Source organism: Homo sapiens, chromosome 2 (genome assembly GCF_000001405.40).
Source record: "Homo sapiens chromosome 2, GRCh38.p14 Primary Assembly".
In the NCBI taxonomy this organism is placed as follows: domain Eukaryota; kingdom Metazoa; phylum Chordata; class Mammalia; order Primates; family Hominidae; genus Homo; species Homo sapiens.
The window spans coordinates 25,068,753-25,091,238 of record NC_000002.12 but is presented as its reverse complement, the minus strand read 5'-3'; the positions used below and the strand labels follow the sequence as shown (position 1 = coordinate 25,091,238).

The 22,486-nt window shown below is 46.8% G+C and overlaps 1 protein-coding gene and 1 pseudogene across 2 annotated transcripts in view, besides 3 other annotated features; one reads left to right on the top strand and one right to left on the bottom strand.

Moving 5' to 3' along the window:
• Window positions 1–22,486, bottom strand: part of EFR3B (EFR3 homolog B) — a 117,060-nt gene that overhangs the window by 67,897 nt on the left and 26,677 nt on the right. The gene's annotated exons all lie outside the window — the stretch shown is intronic.
• Window positions 837–1,835: an enhancer, noted in NCBI's record as "OCT4-NANOG-H3K4me1 hESC enhancer chr2:25312273-25313271 (GRCh37/hg19 assembly coordinates)". NCBI's record gives its function as "activates a minimal SCP1, AML or CMV promoter by ChIP-STARR-seq in naive H9 embryonic stem cells {active_cell/tissue: H9 hESC(naive)}" and the evidence as "EXISTENCE:reporter gene assay evidence [ECO:0000049][PMID:30033119]".
• Window positions 1,836–2,835: an enhancer, noted in NCBI's record as "H3K4me1 hESC enhancer chr2:25311273-25312272 (GRCh37/hg19 assembly coordinates)". NCBI's record gives its function as "activates a minimal SCP1, AML or CMV promoter by ChIP-STARR-seq in naive and primed H9 embryonic stem cells {active_cell/tissue: H9 hESC(naive and primed)}" and the evidence as "EXISTENCE:reporter gene assay evidence [ECO:0000049][PMID:30033119]".
• SUCLA2P3 (SUCLA2 pseudogene 3) lies at window positions 9,547–11,633 on the top strand (annotated as a pseudogene).
• Window positions 20,822–20,964: a silencer, noted in NCBI's record as "fragment chr2:25293144-25293286 (GRCh37/hg19 assembly coordinates)". NCBI's record gives its function as "represses an EF-1alpha promoter that drives an FKBP-Casp9 reporter gene in an ReSE screen in K562 erythroleukemia cells {active_cell/tissue: K562}" and the evidence as "EXISTENCE:reporter gene assay evidence [ECO:0000049][PMID:32094911]".

The following is a 22,486-nucleotide window of genomic DNA, read 5'->3' as shown; positions in this document are numbered from 1 at the left end:
TGGCAGGAAACAGACAGGCTGGAATCAGACAGACCCCTCCCTTGGAGGGCTCGGGGCCTTGTCCTCCCAGAGCTGGCATCTCTCATTGTCCCCTACCCCCACACTCTAAGACATCTGCCATGTGCCATTCTGGCACCTTCATGTCTTTTGCTTGGGGGTTGGGCACAGTGCCATATGCAAGGCCAGGCCACAGGGAGCATTTTGAGGGGTGAGGCTTCGTGGGTGGGAGCTTACATAAAGGTCAGGTGCTGCGCCCGCCTACTGTGCTATTACACACACTCACACACAGACACACACTCACGTTTCCGGGACAGGAATATGAAACTGCCTCCTGCAGCCCAAGAATCTAACCAAGCATCCTGGGAAGATGGATACAGGTTTCGGGGGCAGGTGTTATTCCCTATCTGCCACCTCGTTTGCCCCTAACTTTCTTTATTCCCTGCTCTTCAGTCTCCCTCTATCGTCCTATCTCCTGGAGCCATTTCCATTATAGAAAGTTATGTGCAACTATGATAAAATTAACATCATCATCAACGATTCACATTTGACGATGCATCTTTAACGCAGTGTGACAGTGGAATTTGAAAACTGCGGCCTTTTAGAGTTGGGCAGGGCCTTGAGGGGCATCCGGTTTGTGGTTCTCAAATGCTGGCCCCCAGTGAGGTTTGCACCAATCTGTAGCAAAATGAAAAATCTAACAACCCTGTGGTATGTTTGTGTAAAGCTAAATTTACTCCATTGAGAAGACTGAAGTGACCTCCTCCTTCATGTTTTGGTTCTGTGAAGTGATGGTGTTAGGAAACCACTGATAAAACAAACTGGCAAAATTAGAAGTTGGCAACTCTAGGTCTCACCATAAAAAGTTTTAATTAGTAAAGGAATAATAGCCATTGCACTTCTTCAGTCAACTTCCAAATCCACCCAGCTTCACCCCTCACTGAGGGGGCGGGCGGGCATGGAGGAGGAGAGAGGAGGACTTCAGGGAGGGGCCCGGGGGGCCTGGGAAAGTCCACCTCCTCCCTCCCGCCCAGTAAGCACCCCTTCATTCTGCCAATTAAAGATGAATTCTATCTGTACAAGCACACCACTTGAAATGCAAATGTGCCGTGGGAAGATTAAGCCTACAGGTCATTCAGAAAAGAATGAGTTCCTTCATTGGGAATTACTTTAATCACAAAAGAGGTTTACATAGGGCGGAGAAAAGAGTTCTTTGGGAGTTTTGATTGGGAGGGGGATGGGGTGGGTGCCACTGGAGGAGGAAAGAGCAGTAGTTTTGGCTCTGGGGTGATTTGGGTTTGGGGATGGGCATGTCCTTGGAGTAGCCATGGGGCACCAAGAGGATGGCGGGCACCCAGGGGCAGATAACTTATTTGTGATCCCCTCCACCACCCTCAGCTTCCACCCGCCCCAGCACAGAAGGGACCAGGCAGACCAGTGGGCGGGCTGCATGCCCAGGCTCTCCAGGTTCAGCCTCCTTGCTCGACCTCGTTCCTGGCATCTCCTCACCCTCTCCCTGCCCCTGCCTGAGAAAAGGTGTTGGGGTTCTGGTTGGCATCCAGGGTTATTTCTTGTGATGGGACAGCTCCCAGGGGCCCAGTCCCCCTTCTTGGGCCTGGAAGCCCAGGGTTTAAACCTGCAGCTGCCCAGTCTTCTGCCTGGCGCAGCTGCCAGGATGTGTCTTTCCAAGGTGCCCAGGTAGCACACGCTCCACGCTCTCCCAGCAGCCTCCCTAGTCATAGTCCCTAAACCAGGAACATTGGCCCTTTTGCATTTTAAGGGAGTGAGGAAATAGAAACATGGGGAAGTTAGGACTAAAAAAATTGTAGTGTCAGTTCCTGCCTTGAAACTTTCTGAAGGGCCTGTGAGCTGAGGCCTGCGCTGGACAAAGGCCAAGCTCACAGCTGCTAGAACCCAGGCTTGTCAAGGAGAGAGCTCAATACCATCCTGGGTACTCACGGTAGAAACTTCCACACAGTGCCCCAAGGGGGCTGTGGGGTTGTCAGTGCAGCTACTCTGGCTGGAGAGGGTTCCCTGAGACATCAGGCCGGGACAGTCCTGGTCTGGGGACACCAACTCAGTTCTTCTCAAATGAAAACCAGACAGGCTGCTGCCTCCTGCTCTCTTGTATTCCAGAAGGGGAGCTCCTCAGGCCACCCCTTGCTATATCCTTCCCTCTCTGGTCCACAGGCCCTCCAGGGAAGGCACCTTCCCCAGCACAGAGGCCTCCAGGAGCCGCCACCACACAGGGCCCATGGTGGGCGGGAACCAGTCCCAGGCAGGGCCCCAGGGCCTTTCTGCACCAGTAGAAAGGAGGTAAGAAGGCCTAAAGAATAACAGGGGAAGGTGAGGGCTTCCCGACTTACTCCCCAACACTTCTTTCTTGTCTTTCCTTTCTTCCTAACCTCTTCAGCCCTCTGAGGGCAGGGGCTAGGGAGGCAGCGTGGCCAACAGCATGGGCTCTCAGGTCAAATCCTGGCACTGCCACTTCCTAAACTGTGACTTGGAACAAGTAACAACATTCTCTATGCATGGGTGTCCTATCTCTATAACAGGGCTAGGGCTATCCCACATGGCTGGTAGAAGACCAGAGCCAGTCCAGGGCTATAAAGCACTTATAGCAGGGCCAGGACTGTCAGGCCCCAGGAAGGTTCTGGAAGCTGCCCGCCCCTTTCTGCTTTCCCCCAGGCCCAGTGCCATTGAGCCCTTCCATCCATGCCAGCTGGTCAATGCTGGCTTGGTACATCTTAGCAGGGCTATCCCACTGACCACTTGCTTGGCCACAGCGACCAAGGCCCTTAGACATCCAAAGGCCTAAGAGTTGAGAATCACAGAACACAGACTCCATCCGATTTCCCACGTGGGTCTGAAACACGTGCCACTTCCCCAAGGCAGCTCTGTACACTTGCAAGTAACAATACCTTGACCTCAACCTGCATTCCTGTCTGGCCACCTTCCCAAAGCCAGAACCTCAGCACCAACTCTACAAACCCCAGTGCAAAGGTGACACAACATGAGCTCACACAACAGAATGGAGCTACAAACAAGAGGCACGCTGGAGAGAATCCATGGGACTTGCCATTGGAAGGCCACTAGTGGAGTGGCTGCCATGCGGTAGGGGAAGAGGAGGTGAAGCTTAAGGGACTGACGAGTGCACGAGGAAGCTTCAGCAATCAAGGCAGTGCACTTCTAGTGAAAGAACTGACAGGTGGATCAGCTGGACATCCACATGCAAAAAAAAATGAACATATACACAGCCCTTACACCCTGGACAGAAGCTTACTCAAAATAAATCATTCACCTGAATGTCAAACTCAAAGCTATAAAACTTCTTGAAGATAACATAGGAAAAAGCCTAGATGACCTTCGCTTTTGGCGATGACTTCTTAGATAAAAAACCAAGGGCACAATCCACGACAGAAAGAACTGATAAAATGGAATTCATGAAGATTAAAAATTCCTGCTCTTTGGCTGGGCACGGTGGCTCAAGCCTGTAATCCTGGCACTTTGGGAGGCTGATGTAGGTGGATCACTCGAGGTCAGGAGTTCGAGACCAGCCTGGCCAACATGGTGAAACCCCATCTCTACTAAAAATACAAAAACTAGCTGGGCATGGTGGCGGGTGCCTGTAGTCCCAGCTACTTGGGAGGCTGAGGCAGGAGAATCACTTGAACCCGGAGGCTGCAGTGAGCTGAGATTGTGCCATTGCACTACAGCCTCAGCAACAGAGCGAGACTCCAGCTCAAAAAAAAAAAAAAATCCTGCTCTTCAAAAGGCGCCGTCAAAAGAATGAAAAGTCATAGACTAGGAGAAAGTATTTGTAGAAGACATAGCTAATAAAGAATATATGTGTGTGTGTGTGTATATATATATATATATACATATATGAAGATTTTATATATATACATAATCTTCAAAATATAAGGAACACTGACATGGTTTGGCTGTGTCCCTACCCAAATCTCATCTTGAATCGTAGTTCTCATAATCCCCACGTGTCATGGGAGGGACCTAGGGGGAGGTAATTTAATCATGGGGACAGTTACCCTCATGCTGTTCTTGTGACAGTGGGTGAGTTCTCACGAGATCTGACAGTTTTATGAGGGGCTTTTCCCTGCTTCACTCTGCACTTCTCCTCGCCGCCGCCATATGAAGGACGTGTTTGCTTCCCCTTCTGCCGTAATTGTAAGTTTCCTGAGGCCTCCCCAGCCATGCTGAACTGTGAGTCAATTAAAGCTCTTTCCTTTATAAATTACGCAGTCTCAGGTATGTCTTCGTTCACAGCATGAGAATGGACTAATACAAACACTTAAAACTAAACAATAAGAAAATAACCCAATTAAAAATGGGGCCAGACGGGGTGGTTCATGCCTGTAATCTCAGCACTTTGGGAGGCTGAGGCGGGCAGATCACTTGAGGTCAGGAGTTCAAGACCAGCCTGGCCAACATGGCAAAATCCTGCCTCTACTAAAGATACAAAAATTAGCCAGGTGTGGTGGCGTATGCTTGTAATCCCAGCTACTTGGGAGGCTGAGGTAACAGAATCACTTGAACCCAGGAGGCAGAGGTTGCAGTGAGCCAAGATCATGTCACTGCACTCCAGCCTGGGAGACAGAGCAAGACTCTGTCTCAATAAATAAATAAATAAAGGGCCTGAAACCTTAATAGACATCGCAGCAAAGGAGATATGCAGGTGGCAAATAAGCCTATGAAAAGATGCTCCACATCATATGTCATCCAGGAAATGTAAATTAAAACAACAATGAGATACCACTCCACACCTATTAGAATGGCCCAGATCCAGAACACTAACAGTGCATGCTGGCAGGGATGTGGAGCAGCAAGAACCCTCATTCATTGCTGGTGGGAATGCAAACTGGTACAGCCACTTTGGAAGACAGTTTGGCAGCTTCTTAAAAAATTAAATAAACTCTTACCATACAATCCAGCAATCACACCCCTTGGTATTTACCCAAAGGAAATGAAAACTATGTCTACACAAAAACCTGCACGTGGATGTTTACCGCAGCTTTATGTAGAATTGCCAAAACTTGGAAGCAACCAAGATGTCCTGCAGTGGGTGAATAAACTGTGGTACATCCAGACAACGGAATATTATCCAGCACTAAAAAGAAATGAGTGATCAAGCCATGAAAAGACATGGAGGAAACTTAAATGTATATTACTAAGGGAAAGAAGCCAATCTGAAAAAGCTACATACTGTATGCTCTAAAAAATAGAGTCTTAAAAAGAAAAAGTACATGGGGTAGGAGAGCAGATGCTCTGGCGAGCAGAGCCACAGTCCCCAAACTGTGTTCCATGAAACACTAGCTGTGTGATGCTAACAAGCATTTCCCAGAAAAAGGCTCCAAGGACAAATAAATATATGAAGCCAGGCATACTAAATCCCCCATCCCAGATTCATAGCACAAATTAACATATTCTGAAAAGTCAACAGCCACTAGCACCCTCATTTTGGTCAGGCGCGGTGGCTCACACCTGTAATCCCAGCACTTTGGGAGGCTGAGGCAGGCAAATCACTTGAGGTCATGAGTTCGAGACCAGCCTGGCCAACATGGTGAAATCTCGTTTCTACTAAAAATACAAAAATTAGTCAGGTGTGGTGGTGCAGGCCTGTAGTCCCAGCTACTTGGGAGACTGAGGCAGGAGAATCACTTGAGCCGGGGACGTGGAGGATGCAGTGAGCTGAGATTGTGCCACCACACTCCAGCCTGGGCAACAGAAAGAGATTTCGTCTCAATAAATAAATAAATAAAATCATTGTGATGAATATTTTTATTATGCTTTTTTCAAGACATTTATTACCTACTTTAAAAATAGGTGGGAAATAGGAAGGAATATAATACTACAAATGTAGCACATTGGAAACAGCCCTAATTTTAGAGTTTAAAGAGTACTGGTGTTTAAGTCCTGCTTCTGTCATTTGACCTTTGAGTTCCAGGACCAATTCTGTCATCTGACCTTTGAGACTTAAGTTTCCTTATCAATACAATAACAGATTTTCCCTAAGTTACAGTTTGACGATGGAAATCCCAGATCATTTGCCAAAGAATCGAAAAAGAGAGAAATTATCTTGAGCTCCGATAGTTGGGGAAGGCTTCCCAGAAGAGAGGTACAAGAAGACACGGGGTAGGGTTCATAGCAGTGAAAAAGACAGTAGGTGCCTTATTCCTTGTGAGCCAGGCACAGCTCTAAAATACTTCACAAGCACCAACTTTTGTAATCCTTACAACAACCTGTGAAAGGAAAATAAATCTTGGGGCCCCCAAATCACTAAGCTAAAGGGAAAAGTCAAGCTGGGAACTGCTTAGGGCCAACCTGCCTCCCATTCTATTCGAAGTCCCCTCTCTGCTCACTGAGATAAATGTATAACTGACTGCCTCATTTGAAGAGGCTAATCAGAAACTCTAAAAAATGCAACCCTTTCTCTTTTATCTACCTATGGCCTGGAAGCCCCCTCTCCACTTTGAGTCGTTCCGCCTTCGCCTCAAGTTGTCCCACCTTTCTGGACTGAACCAGTGTATATCTTACATATATTGATTGATGTCTCATGTCTCCCTAAAATGTATAAAACCAAACCATGCCTCAACCACCTTGGGCACATGTCGTCAGGACCTCCTGAGGCTGTGTCACGGGCACGTCCTCAGCCTGGCAAAATAAACTTTCTAAATTAACTGAGACTGGCCGGTCACGGTGGCTCACACCTGTAATCCCAACACTTTGGGAGGTCAAGACAGGTGGATCACGTGAGATCAGGAGTTCGAGACCAGCCTGGCCAACATGGTGAAACCCCTTCTCTACTAAAAATACAAAAAAATTAGCAGGGCGTGGCAGCGCGCACCTGTAATCCCAGCTATTCGGGAGGCGGAGGCACAAGAATCGCTTGAATCTGGGAGGCAGAGGTTGCAGTGAGCCGAGATCGCACCACTGCACTCCAGCCTGGGTGACAGAGTGAGACTCATTCTCAAAAAAATAAATAAATAAAAATTAAAAAAAAAATAATTAATTAACTGAGACCTGTCTCAGATTTTCGAGGTTCACAAACCCATGGCATAGGTACTATTTTTATCCTCATTTTATAGATGAGAAAACTGAGGCATTAAGTGGTTAAGTTACCTGCCTAGAGCCACACAGCTAGAATCTGAACCCCAAATGGCAGACTAGAATCTGAACCCCAAAAATCTACTTTCAGAGTCCATGTTCTGAAATACAAAACCAGGGCAGGGATAGGTTACAGTTGTCACAGAGCTAGGGAAACTGAGGCCTATGTGGAAAGAGAACCACTAGGTCAGTGCATCTCAGGCTGTAGAGTGCACGTGTCCCTTGGGGATCTGGTTAAAATGCAAGCTCTGATTAGACTCTGGGGATGCTGATGCCCCTGGTCCCAGGACCACACTTTGAGTCTGCAAACCACCAGAGCATGGTGGTTAAGAATTTGGGCTCAGAGGTCAGATGGGCTTAGGATGAAATTCTAGCTCTTCCCTTTTCTTACTGTCTGGCCCTGTGCAATACTCCACACTTCCTGGGTAGGTAATCAAAGCTGATGGCAGGAGATTCCCAGCTCTCCTCTCCGAGTTGAGAGCTGGAGGCGCTTTGGTCAGGAGCGCCCAGCTTCTGGGTCCCAAAGCAGCTTAGTGGGTGCTGGGAACCCACAAGCACCCCTAGAAAGCTTCCAGCCCAACAATGGTGAATTCTAAGTAGCCACAAAACCCAGCTAGGAAAGAAACAAATAATAGACATTAAAAAGAAACTAAAAACAGTTCATTGTAACGAGACACTAAGTAATGTTTTTATATATTTCTTCCATCTTACTTCTGATGGTATTTATTCTTAATGTTAGTATTCATACATACAAATTGTGGAGTTTAACTCACAACTATATGCCTATAAAAGAATCATTTAATTCTGAGCCATTTTATTTCTAAAACAGAAGCACTTTCCAACGGGTCCTCTTTCACTCTCTAGGGATCGTGTCTGGCAGATCCAACCACAGTAGCTGAAGGTAAATTTATGAAGGATCCTCTTCTGTCACTAGGAGCTGTCTTACCTGATATTTTCATACCTATTTTAAGGAAGAGAGGGAAACGTGATATGGCCAATTCCCTAGTATGTAGCTGCACTGCCACTGAAAAGGCAAATCAGTAGGAATAAACCAAATGTTCAATGACACATGATTTTGGCAGCTTCCTCCTTTAAAACCATGAGAATGGTGAGACCTCCCTCGATGGCTCATTTTGCCCCAAACCCCCTGTCCAGAATGTTCTTCCCCATGTCCTCTGACCTCCCACTCTCATGTCCCTAAGGTCTCTGCCCAAATGTCACCTAGCTGGAAAGAGCTTCCCTGACCAGCATTCCACTTTAATTTTCTGTCCTGGTTTATTCCTTTTCATAGTGCTTTTTACCAATGGACACATTTCATCTGTGTCTACACTCCATCTCCCCACTCGAAGGTAAGCTCCTCAAGAGTGAGACCTTTGTCCACTTGTCCCCACTGTGTCCCAGGGCTGGAATAGGGTCCAACCCATGGGTGGTGGTGGCAGGGGGTGCTCATACAGGTTTGTGGAATAAAGGGAGGACAGTGTGATCGAGCAGAAAAGCAATCATGAATTTCAAGGTCAGTAATTTCAAAGTCAGTAAGTCAAAGTCTATGAGGCACTTAGCAAAAGATCTCTGGGTGTTTGCAAGACAGTACTCCCAGGGGAACTTCAGGGAAAAGTTCCTGTTATAGAACAGTTGGCTCCTGTTCCTGAACTTGGTGCCCAGCCCATCTTCTAGGGCTGCCAACACCTGTAGCTCCTGAGGTCAGGCTCACTGGGACCAGTCTCTCTCCAGGCAGACATACTGGGCATCAGGGAGCCTGGGTCAGAGTTCCTCCTGTCTGCCCAAGGCCTCTAGCCTGCCTTGTCCTCACTCCCCCAACCCCCTTAGCTGGCTCCTGGCTTGGCCTGTGGCCGCAATCCTGGCTGCTCATCAGAATGACCCCTGTGCTGTGAAGAGGGCCCAGAGGTGTTTAAAATGCTCCACCACAATTCCAGCACACAGCCAGGGTGAGAAGTGCCACAAGGTCCTTGCCTGTCCAACATGTGAGAGCAGATCCTGCAGCTGCTGGCAGCCTTGCGACAGAGGACGCAGGACCCCTCACCTGGGCCACCAGCAGCATCTGCGTCCCTGTGACCCCTAGGCGTCGCAGCCCTGTTTCTCCTTTGGCCTGCTTGCTGGATCCTGTTTGCCTGACTGAGCTGTCCCCTTGATCAGAGCTGCCCTCTACTCAGGGCGATTGGTGGTTTGAAACAAACAAAGTCTCAAACACTAACTACATCATGCTTTTCAAAATCTAGGTCCCCTCCCCCAAACTCCCTACTAGTAACCCAGCATCACCTGCCAGGCCCACTGAGATACATTATTTCCTTTGAATTATTTCCTCTCCTTCATTGCCACTCCAGTCTCTCTCACACTGATTTTAAAATCTAAAAAAATTCCAGGGGCCTGTGCGGCTGCAGGCGGTACCAAGGGAATGGGTCTCACTCGGAAATGGCAGCCTCCATGTTCTACAGCCAGCTGTTGGCCGCAGCTACCCTTCGGGGCCACCTTCTCTGGACAGCCCTGCGGGCCACTGCTCAGGCTCTAGGAAGTTATGGATTGTTGAATAACCATGGACTCCAAGTACAGCAGCAATAGCACAGGAATCTCTCACTACATGAATACATGAGTATGGAATTATTGCAAGAAGCTGGTGTCTCCGTTTCCAAAGGATATGTGGCAAAATCACCAGATGAAGCTTATGCAATTGCCAAAAAAGTAGGTACAGAAGAAAGAAATAACATGTGCAGGATAAACTGTAACTATGAGTACTGCTGGCAAGTTCTCTGGGACTCACAAGTAGTAAGAAGCAGGTTCAAAAGAAGTTGAGATGAAGGCGCAGGTTTCAGCTGATGGTCGAGGAAAAGGAACATTTGAAAGTGGCCTCAAAGGAGGAGTGAAGATAGTTTTCTCTCCAGAAGAAGCAAAAGCTGTTTCCTCAGAAATGATTGGGAAAAAGTTGTTTACCAAGCAAATGGGAGAAAAGGGTGGAATATGCAATCAAGCACTGAAGCGAAAATACCCTAGGGGAGAAGACTACTTTGCAATAGGGATGGAGAGGTCATTTCAAGGTCCTATATTAATAGGAAGTTCACATGGTGGTGTCAACATTGCAGATGTTGCTGCTGAGACTCCTGATGCAATTAAAGAACCTGTTGATATTGTAGAAGGCATCAAAAAGGAACAAGCTCTCCGGCTTGAACAGAAGATGGGATTTCCACCTAATATTGTGGATTCCGCAGCAGAAAACATGGTCAAGCTTTACAGCCTTTTTCTGAAATATGATGCAACCATGATAAGAAATAAATCCAATGGTGAAGATTCAGATGGAGCTGTGCTGTGATGGATGCAAAGATCAATTTTGACTCTAATTCAGCCTAACGCCAAAAGAAAATCTTTGATCTACAGGACTGAACCCAAGAAGATGAAAATGACAAAGACGCTGCTAAGGCAGATCTCAACTACATTGGCCTGAAAGGAAATACAGACTGTCTAGTAAATGGTGCTGGTTTGGCCATGGCCTCAATAGATATAATAAAACTTCAGGGGCCAGGAGTGGTGGCTCATGCCTGTAATCCCAACACTTTGGGAGGCCGAGGCGGGCAGATACCTGAGGTCAGGAGGTCAAGAACAGTCTGGCCAACACGGTGAAACCCCGTCTCTAATAAAAATACAAAAATTAGCCAGGTGTGATGGCGGACACCTGTAATCCCAGCTACTCAGGAGGCTGAGGCAGCAGAATCGCTCGAACATGGGAGGCGGAGGTTGCAGTGAGCCGAGATGGTGCCACTGCACTCCAGCCTGGACGACAAGAGCAAAACTCCATCTCAAAAAAAAAAAAAAAAAAAAAAAAAAAAGCTTTGGGGAGGGACTCCAGCCAGCTTCCTTGATGTTGGTGGTGGTGCTACAGTCCATCAAGTAACAGAAGCATTTAAGCTTATCACTTCAGATAAAAAGGTACTGGCTATTCTGATCAACATTTTTTGAAGAATCATGCACTGTGATGTTATTGCACAGGGTATAGTCACGGCAGTAAAAGATGTGGAAATTGAAATACCTGTTGTGGGGGTTACAAGGTACACGAGTTGATGATGCTAAGGCACCGAGAGCAGACAGTGGGCTTAAAATTCTTGCTTGTGACGACTTGGAGGAAACTGCTAGAACGTTCAGAAGGCTCTCTGAAACAGCGGACTTAGCCAAGCAAGCACATGTGGATGTGAAATTTCAGTTGCCAATATGATCTGAAAACCCAGAGGATGGCTGAAGGTGTTAAATGTGCTATAATCATTAAGGATACTGTGTTCTGTGTTATTGTTCTTTTTGGTGTGTGGAGGTTGTAATTGCCATGTAGGTATACAAACTTTTAAAAACATTTGGTTTGCATTTAATTCTATTTATAGAACACTGTTTGTATAAAGAACCTATAATGCAGGTAACTAATTTCTTTTGTTGCAACCAGTCTTATTTGCTTCTCCTACAAAATGTAACTTGCAATATGTCTGTTTATTATTGTTGGATACAAAGTTCTTCATTGATAAGAGTCCTACAAATAAAATAAATTAAAAAAAATTCCAGGGTTTACCACCAGCTCTGCACTAAGCACTAGGACAAGCACTTTACAAATATTTCATATAAGTCTCGTAACAACCCCATAAAGTAGATACTATTATTCTCATTTTACAGATAAAGAGGCAGGATCAGAGAGGTTAAGTGCCCTGCCCAAGGTCACATAGCATGTTCTTCTCTGCCATGAAACTCCCCTAATTCTTCCATCACTTTCCAAAAAATATATCTCTAACAATTTCCCAAGTTCATCTTGTGCTCTCCTTCGCCACAGCCACCTTGCTGGAAGCCTCCTGAACACCTGCCACCCAGTCCCGGGGACCTGGCCAGTCTCTTCACTTCAATTCATTCTTTATGTAGCTCTAAGGCAAATATTTAATTTAGTTTGCTTCATGGTCAAGCAGGTAGCATGACCTGTGCTGCATTAAATGTCAACCATTCAACTTAGGATTTAACAAGGGATGCCCCAGTAGAGGTGGGGACAGTTGCTTCATCTTCAAGTCCTTCCTCCACTGTAGGGGGTCCTCTCACTCATGCTCTGCCTCCTGGAACACTCTGTGTCTAGCAGCCAGAGTCCACAGTGAGAAGGGTTGGGAGGTCGGAAGCAGAGCAGATTAGGGGAGCCACGCAGTCTCGTGGCAGTGAATGAAAGGATGTTTTGGTGACAGGGACCGGCCACAAGCTGGAGATGTTGAAGGGGCAGGAGAGTCAGCGCCACAGACCTGACACCTGGCGGATCCTGACACCTGCTGAGCTCCCTGGAAGCCTTCCATGAACAACACTCTCCGACCACAGGCACAGCGTACTCTCTGCCAGCTCGACTTCTGTGCATCCTTCACACTGTATTACCTTATATAATCTTCTCCCACTGCTTGTTCAGGCGAAGTTATTTCAGTGACTCATCTTTTCTTCTCCCAAGATAAACTGTAAATTCCTAGGTCTCATTTTCTTCTGACCTCAATACAGTATCCTGAGCCCAGCAGGGCTGGAGGGAAGCTGGCGTGATGTGTGACTTCACCTGCCTTTGAACAGCGTGAGACTCAGGGAAGTCACCTCCCCTCCTGGCCTCTCCTTTCCTTCTTATAAACATCAACTCCCTCCTCCGCATTCACCAAGAAAAATGCCTTTTTGCTCAAAATAGTTTGTATTTATTTTCTCAGCTTTGCAATCTTCTTGTAAAGACAAGGGCTGGACTTGATCATTCCTACTAAAGCAAATGGAATTCTTTTTAAACAATTTACAATAAAATCTGACCCAGGGCTAATGGCATGGACACCCGCTTCAAATGAATTGGAGGAAATGGAACAAAGTTCAGAGAGAGAGGTGCATCTGATTCAAGTGCCTCCCACGAGGCACTTGTGTTCACTGACATTAATGAACTCCAGCAGTTCGCAGGGCACTTGCTGGGTGGCGTGGGGAAGAGAAAGAAGTTTAAAATAGACAGGTTCTGCCATCAAGGAACTTACTCTGTAGTTGGGGACACAAAACCTGCACACATTTAAGGTCAAGGATATGTCACAATGAGACTAAGGAGTCCATAAAACTGAAGAAATCTCTGAGTTTAATGAATCTAGGAAGGCTTCCTGGAAGAGGTGAGATGTGAGCTGCCTCACTAGGGGTGGAGACAGCTGGTAAGTACTGGTGAATCCATGAAACAAAAAATCAACAACCCTCCAATGGGGACAATTTTAAGAAAAACAAAAAGGTTCCCTCTTTTCTTTTCCCCTTTTCCTTGCTTCTGAATTTAAAAGGAATAGATGCTCATGGGTATAAATTTATAAAACGGGGGAAAAAAGAAAATGAACATCACTTAGAATCACGTAATTCAAAGATAACTATTAGAATTTCAGTGTATTTGTTCTAGTTTTTGTGTCCATGTTTATGTATATTTTAAAATATATATGTATAAAATTGGGATCCTACAGGATAGTGTTAAAACTGAATTTCTTCTTATATTGTGAGCACTTACTTTCTTACTGAAGGCCTTTCGGCCAGGCATGGTGGCTCACGCCTGTAATCCCAACACTTTGGGAGGCCAAGGCAGGCGGATCAGGAGGTCAGGAGTTCAAGACTAGCCTGGCCAACATGGTGAAACCCCATCTCTACTAAAAATACACAAAAAATTAGCCAGGTGTGGTGGCGGGTGCCTATAATCCCAGCTACTCAGGAGGCTGAGGCAGGAGAATTGCTTCAACCTAGGAGACAGAGGTTGCAATGAGCTGAGATCGTGCCATCGCACTCCAGCATAGGCGACAACAGCAAGACTCCATCTCAAAAAAAAAAAGTTTTAAAACTTCATTTTAATGGCTACTTATTATTTCATCTTTTGACTGGATCCTGATTTATTTAATCATTCTCTGTTGTTTCCAGTTTTTCATTATTCTGAGTGACGCAGCAATTTGCCTTTGGTAATTAAAGCCAGGAATCATTCAGGCAGAGCCTGGTTTTGTTTTATTGGTGCTAAGGAAATCAAACAGTACCATGTGGCTGCAGGAGAGGGGTACATCTGCAGGGGCCGGGACATGTATCTCATCTGGGAAAGATTCAGGATTGAAGAGATCAAGAGGAAATGCTGATGAAAATGAATTTGGGGAAGGAGGCAGGATTTGAGTTTCCAAACAGATCTTACCGGGAGTAGAATTAAACAGCAGCTGAATTCTCCCTGGGGAGATAGTGTGGGTGAGACTTGCCTGAAGTAACACACAAATCAGTAGCTGTCAGTGGCCTGACCTTTTGGAGCTCTAGAGCTTCCGAGACACTCACCCGTTTCCGGCCAATCTTGGTTAATCTGATTGCCACCTTAATTGAGGATGGGGATTTAAAAGGAGAGAAACGTGTCTGATTGATTTAATGTCAGGGCTTCAATTCTTCATGAACTACAGGCTTCTTTGGGCTTTGATATGCTCTTCAAGCAAAGAATAGATGAAAATGAACAGAATGTTTTTCCATTCTCTGTCTCTCGGGACCACTAACAGCAGGAAAATTTTATCCCAACCATTTTGGGGAAATAGAAAGCCTGGTTTCAAACCCAGCTTCAGCTTTGGCAAAGCTGTACAATCTTGTGTGCCTTGGTCTACTTATCCGCAAAATGGAAGGAAGGGAATCTACTTAATAGGGTTGTGGTGAAGACTAGATAAGTTAACAGAGTGAAGTTCTTACAACTATTCCTAGCACACAGTAAGAACTCAGTAATTGTTAGCTTTCATCATCATCATCATCAGTATTACTATGATAATTATTATTAAAATCTTTTTCCCAACTTAGGAGAAAAAAGGCAGGGTAGAATAAAATGGAATGTTGGAGCAACGATAGCCCTTAATGTCCTTTATCTTTATTTTATTCTTGGATGTGAAGTACCAATCGCTATTAAGACATCTAAATCCAAGGCCAAGCATGGTGGCTCACACCTGTAATCTCAACACTTTGGGAGGTCGAGGTGGGAGGATCACTTGAGCCCAGGAGTTTGAGACCAGCCAGGGCAACAAAGTGAGACCTCATCTCTAAACATAAAAATAAAATCAGCCAGGCATGGTGGCGCATGCCTGTAGTCCCAGCTACTTGGGAGGCTGAGGTGGGAGGATCGCTTGAGACTGGGAGGTCAAGGCTACAGTGAGCAGTGATCATACCTTGCACTGCATACCACCATACTCCAGCCTGAGTGACAGAGTGAGACCCTACCCGAGGACAAGGCTCCATGAGGAAACACAAGTGAAAGGGCATCATCATGACCGTCAACAACAGCTAAAGTGTTTTGAGCTTGTCTGTTCCAGGCATTATGCATTCTTTCATTTAATCTTTACAAAAACCCTATGAGGTTGATACAGTTATCCTTGTTTTACAGATGGCACTAAACCTAGGCTCTTATCTAATATGTTGACTTGTAAAAATAAAGAACTGAGGTCTCTGCCTGCAAATACCTTATATTGTTGGTAGGTAAAAAATAGAATTGAAAATATATTCACCAGGAACATGGAACATATAATCAGGATCATAAGAATTAACTGTTAAACACACACAGAGCAAGGTTGCTGAGGAAACTAGAGATGGGATGGGAAGGGGTCAGAGGAGACTAACTTTGAACATTATTTAAATGAGAAGGATTCCATTGTTTAGTGAGAAAGAGGGTTTTCCATGTCAGAAAGGGTGAAAAGAAAATAGACATGTCCTGAGTGCCTATTATTTTAACTGCCTAACTTGAGCACTTTGTTAAAAAAATAAAATCCCATGAGGTTAGTATTGTTAATCTTCAGAAGAGAAAACCAGGGCTCACAGAGGTTAGTTAATTTGCCTACGATCACACAGGAAGTGAGGAACAGAGTCAGGAACAGAGCCAGGGAGGCCCTCTGACTTCAGAGCTGCAGGAGATTTGAACTGAGAATAAATATGCCAGGTGGGGATATGAAGAAAATGTGCTCAAGTAGGAAAGGACAATTTCCAGGATGGATTATTCTTGAAAATCAGGTGTAACTGACGAAATCTGAACAGACTCTGTGGATGGCACCCCCCAAGTTCCTGGTGTGGATACTGAACTATAGTTACGCAGGATGTTCACACTAGGGGAGGCTGGGTGAAGGGTACAAAGGACCTCTCTGCGCATTTCTTTGCAACTGCCCATGAATCCATATTTCAAAATAAAAAGTTTTTTAAAAAGTTGGCAGATAGGCCAGGCATGGTGGCTTATGCCTATAATCCCAGCACTTTAGGAGGTGGAGACAGGAGGATCACTTGAGGTCAGGAGTTCAAGACCAGTCTGGCGAACATGGTAAAACCCCATCTCTACTAAAAATACAAAAATTAGCCTAATGTGGTGCATGCACCTGTAGTCCCAGCTACTCAGGAGGCTGAGGCAGGAGAATCACTTGAACCTGGGAGACGGAGGTTGCAGTGAGCCGAGATCACGCCACGGTACTCCAGCCTGGGTGACACAGCAAAACTCTTGTCTCAAAAAAAAAAAAAAGTTGGCAGATAGTGAAGGCAAAGATGCTTCTTTCTTTTCTTTTTTTCTTTTTTTTTGAGATGGAGTCTCGCTCTGTCACTCAGACTGGAGTGCAGTGGCGCAAACTTGGCTCACTGCAACCTCTGCCTCCCGGGTTCAAGCGATTCTCCTGCCTCAGCCTCCTGAGTAGCTGGGATTACAGGCACACACCACCACGCCTGGCTAATTTTTGTATTTTAGTAGAGACGGGATTTTGCCATATTGGCCAGGGTGGTCTTGAACTCCTGACCTCAAGTGATCCATCCGCCTCGGCCTCCCAAAGTGTTGAGATTACAGGCGTGAGCCACTGTGCTCAGCCAAAGATGCTTCCTTTGAGCAACGGTGGTAACTGGTGGAGGATTCTGGTTCAGGAGTCTGATGGGCCATGGAGGCACAAGAGCATCCCAGCATCATGCCAGAGCCTCTCCCTCCACTCCTTAGAGCGACCAACCAGCCCCACACCAGGTTGGTCACAAATGGAGGGAGAATAAGATTTGCTGACTCATATATTGAGTATCCATTATGAGTCCCCCCCACTGTGCCAAGAGCTACCTGGCTATATGAGACATTGCCAAGACACAGGGCTGGTTTGGAGGCTCTTACAGTCTAGTTGGAGAGAAAAGGCACAATCAATAAAATATAAGCGGCTTGGGTATACTGATGTTTCTCATGGAAAGTTTTATGTGTTGCAAAAGCTCAAAGGAGGGTGTGTGCTCCTCAGGCTGGTTGGTCAAGGAGGGCTTCACAGGGGAGGAAGAATTGAGGCAGAGCCTGGAAGGAGGTGGGCCTACCAGGAGAACAGGAGAAAAAGGGGGTCCTGGCAAGAGAAACTGTTGAGCAAAGGGGCACACATGCATGTGGTTTCAGAACCTAAGCTTGCCTGGGAGCTCCTTGCAGGCACCTGGCACCCAGATCTCAGTGTACAGCAGGCATTCCGGAGAATCATTACATAGTGGGCTGGGCGCAGTGGCTCATGCCAACACTTTGGGAGACCGAGGCAGGTGGATTACTTGAGCTCAGGAGTTCAAGACCAGCCTGGGAAACATGGCGAAACTCCTCTCTACAAAAAATACAAAAATTAGCCAGGCATGGTGGCACACACCTGTAGTCCCAGCTATTTGGGAGGCTGAGGTGGGAGGATCACTTGAGCCTGGGAGGTGGAGGTTGCAGTGAGCTGAGATCGCACCACTGTACTCCAGACTGGGTAATAGAGCAACACTCTGTCTAAAAAAAAAAAAAAAAGTATTAAATAGCTTAAATAATATACACAGTTTTGTATTTTATAGCATAGAGAGAGCACGCCTTGGAATACAGCAAAACTGGGACCATGAGCTATGTGACCTCAGGCAGGTGTGCCACGCCCTCTGTGGGTTTCTTTGTCTGTGGGAGGTGAGCAAAACACCGAGTGTGTGCTGGGACAACACTCCATAACTGGCAGCTCCCTGGTCCTCTTCATTCTATTTCTTAAGTGTTTATCTGGGTGTTGAATTGTCATCATAACTATCGTTGTGAATGTATGCTTCAAATTCCAGTAAGAAGATCCACAATAATGCATCAAATCTTTTCCATATTGTTTGACATATATCTTGTTTACACTTTCATGCTATTTAAAACAATGCTGGAAAGAGTGTGCAGACATTACAGCTTTTTCCATTTTCTGGATTATTTCATTAGGCTGGATTTCCAGAAATAGAGTCAAAAGGTATGCATATTTTTAAGACTCAAGAATTTCAATGGTCTCCTCAGGAGCAGAAAAGGCCTGAGAGTAGCTGGAGGGGAGATTCCAAGCAGCAGTCCTGTGGGCCCCAAGGCTGCAAGAAGCTCTGACTGCCCAGGGAGGAGCTCCGTGGCATTCTGCAGCTGTTTGAGGGCTTTCTGAAGAGGAGGTACTGGAGGATAAGAATGGTTTATTAGGAAGGGTAGCCATGGGTCTGGCTATGGTTGAATTTGAGTTTAGAGAGCTAAGAAGAAGGGAGACCATCTAGAGAAGAAGCAGAAGTCAAGGCATAAGAAAATAAGGATGCTGGGTGCAGTGGCTCACGCCTGTAATCCTAGCACTTTGGGAGGCTGAGGTGGGAGGATCGCTTGGGCCCAGGAGTTCAAGACCAGCGCAGGCAACATAGTGAAATTCTGTCTCTACCAAAAAATGCAAAAATTAGCCCAGTGTGGTAGCATGCACCTGTAATTCCAGCTATTCAGGAGGCTGAGGTTGGAGGATCACTTGAACCTGGGAGGCAGAGGTTGCAGTGAGCCGAGATCACACCACTGCACTCCAGCCTGGGTGACAGAGCAAAATCTTGTCTCAAAAAGATAAAGATAAGAAAAGAAATAAGGGCTGGAGCCAGGGTGGTGGGGAAAGAGAACAGAAAGGAAGGGCCAGATGGCCCAAGCACTGAGTAACAGCCACCCACGTCCACAACTGCCAACACGCAGAGGGAGAAGCTGAGAGCCTGGAACTGGTGACGAAAGCGGGGACCCCACTCCCGGAGCTTCATAGCCACACTGGCAATGCAAACTGGATTAGAAACTCATTCCACCACTAAGGAAGGCTGGCACCAATAAAACCACACCACCAGGGTGATGTGCGAGATTTGAGACCAGCCGTAAGAAACAAGAGGAACTGGGGCCAGAGTCTGAAGACTGCCCAGTAAAACAGATACATTGAAAAGCTGATGAAAACTCAGGGGAGAAAGCCACAGGCAGGAGCCTTCCAGAACCAGCATCTATTTCTCTCACACCTGCTAATCACAGGCACAGGACACACTTCACCAGGATGTTTGTAAACAAAGGAACTCTGAGTGGAGCTTAGCCAGCTGGCTGAAAGGTATCGATTAAGTGCAAACCTCCATGACACAATTTGGAAGACAACAAAATAATTTCGGCGACAAACAAGACATAATTTAGACAACCACATGGAAAAATTCCTAGGCTAGACCATTTAATGAGAAAGGTATATACCCAACTGCATCCAAAGTAGGACCAAAACTATGAAAGTTACGATTACATTAGGACAGGGGATGTGCAGAAAAGAAAAGAGCTTGGCTGGCTGGGTGCAGTGGCTCACACCTGTAATCCCAGCACTTTGGGAGGCCGAGGCGGGTGGATCGCGAGGTCAGGAGTTCAAGACCGGCCTGGCCAACATAGTGAAACCTCATCTCTACTAAAAATACAAAAAATAGCCAGGTGTGGTGGCGTGAACCTGTAATCCCAGCTACTCAGGAGGCCGAGGCAGGAGAATCGCTTGAACCCAGGAGGCAGACATTGCAGTGAGCCAAGATCGCACCACTGCACTCCAGCCTGGGCAACAGAGCGAGACTCTGTCTCAGAAAAAAAAAAAAAAAAAGGCCGGGCACGGTGGCTCATGCCTGTAATCCCAGCACTTTGGGAGGCCAAGGCAGGCGGATCACGAGGTCAGGAGATCAAGACCATCCTGGCTAACACAGTGAAACCCCGTCTCTACTAAAAATACAAAAAATTAGCTGGGCATGGTGACGGGTGCCTGTAGTCCCAGCTACTTGGGAGGCTGAGGCAGGAGAATGGCATGAACCCGGGAGGCGGAGCTTGCAGTGAGCCCAGATCGCACCAGTGCACTCCAGTCTGGGCGACAGAGCGAGACTCCGTCTCAAAAAAGAAAAGAAAAGAAAAGAGCTTGAGCCTGACCTGTGGTGTATTAAGCAACAATGAATTTTCTCCTTTGTTTTCATTTCCATTAACGTGCGGATCTCTGCATTAATCCGAATGGATATCTTCACCCTCCCAATGTTGTGTGCCTTCACAGTTTGTCAGATGAGCAGTTTAGTAGAGTCTGTCCCTCTGAGCCTCTGCGCCCTCCATCTCTTCCCACTGCCACCCCGCCTCTCTCCCTTCCTCAGCTCTTCATTGACAGTGGCCCATTCCTGCCAAATATCTCCCACTCCTGGCTGCTGGAGGGACGTTTCAAATAGAAAGGATGTCACCTGCTGTTCACTGCTTTCCTCCTTCATTTTCTTATCAGCCATCACTAGCTCCTCCAGATTTGAATTTTAAAATCATCAGAAGCCAGTAGGATGCGGTGGCTCACGCCTGTAATCCTAGCACTTTGGGAGGCTGAGGCAGGTGGATCACTTGAGACCAGGAGTTCGAGACCAGCCTGGCCAACATGGTGAAACCCCCATCTCTACTAAAAATGTAAATATTAGCCGGGCGTGGTGGCATGCACCTGTAATCCCAGCTACTCAGGAGATTGAGGTGGGAGAATTGCTTGAACCCGGGAGGCGGAGGTTGCAGTGAGCCAAGATTGCGCCACTGCAGTCCAGCCTGGGAGAAAGAGCAAGACTCTGTCTCAAAGTAAATAAATAAATAAAATCATCAGAAGCCCCCGGTAATCACAGGGAAAATATTGTGTAATGAGGTAGGAGGTGGGACTCGACTCTGGGGGTGGGGCTTGAACACTGGACCAAATTGAGGACTAGCTAAAACAAGGCAGAAGCAGCTTTTCATAAGCCACACCCACCAGTGTGCCATGTCAGTTTACCATTGCCATGGCAATAGCCAGGAGTTACTGTCCTTTCGACAGCAAGGACCTGATGAATAATCAATGACCTGATGAATCAAAAGTTACAACCCTGGCTGGGTGTGGGGGCTCAGGCCTGTAATCCCAGCACTTTGGGAGGCCGAGGCAGGCAGATCACGAGGTCAGGAGATTGAGACCATCCTGGCTAACACGGTGAAACCCCGTCTCTACTGAAAATACAAAAAAATTAGCCAGGCGTGGTGGCGCATGCCTGTAGTCCCAGCTACTTGGGAGGCTGAGGCAGGAGAATGTCCTGAACCCGGGAGGCAGAGGTTGCAGTGAGCCAAGATCGTGCCATTGCACTCCAGCCTGGGCAACAGAGCAAGACTCCGTCTCAAAAACAAAAAGTTACTACCCCTTCCCTAGAGATTTCTGCACATACTGCCCCTTAATCTGCATATAATTAAAAGTGGTATAAACACGACTGCAAAACTGCCCTGAGCTGCTACTCTCAGACAGATTGTCTACATGGTAGCCCTGCCCTGCAGGAGCAGTCATGGAGCTGGAACACCGCTGGAGCTGTAATGCTGCCACTTCAATAAGGCTGTTTTCTTCTACTCTATCACTAGCTTGCCCTTGAATTCTTTCCTGGGCAAAGCCAAGAACCGTCACAGACTAAGCCTCACTTTGGGGGTCGCCTAGCCTACATTAGTATGGAATCTTTAATAATCTTTATTTTAGCATGGTTTGAAATCAGGAAGAGGGGAAAAAAGCATCAGACAAGATACATCGTGGCCACCAGAGACAAGCGATGGCTTCTCATCTCGCTTTAATTGACCCTGGCTTCGCTGCTGTGCCCAAGGCCTGGCCTCCTTTGCTTACTTAGAAAGTGACTCCAGTACAGGCCAGGCGCAATGGCTCATGCCTGTAATCCCAACACTTTGGGAGGCCGAGGTGGGCGGATCACCTGAGGTCAGGAGTTCAAGACCAGCCTGGCCAACATGGTGAAACCCCATCTCTACTAAAAATACAAAAATTAGCTGGGTGTGGTGGTGAGGCTGAGGCAGGAGAATCACTTGAATCCGGGAGGCGGAGGTTGCAGTGAGCCAAGATCGCGCCACTGCATTCCAGCCTGGGTGACAGAGTGAGACTCTGTCTCAGAAAAAAAAAAAAAAAAAAAGATGCCGGGCGCGGTGGCTCACGCCTGTAATCCCAGCACTTTGGGAGGCCAAGGTGGGCGGACCACAAGGTCAGGAGATAGAGACCATCCTGGCTAACACGGTGAAACCCCATCGCTACTAAAAACACAAAAAATTAGCTGGGCGTGGTGACAGGCACCTGTAGTTCCAGCTACTCTG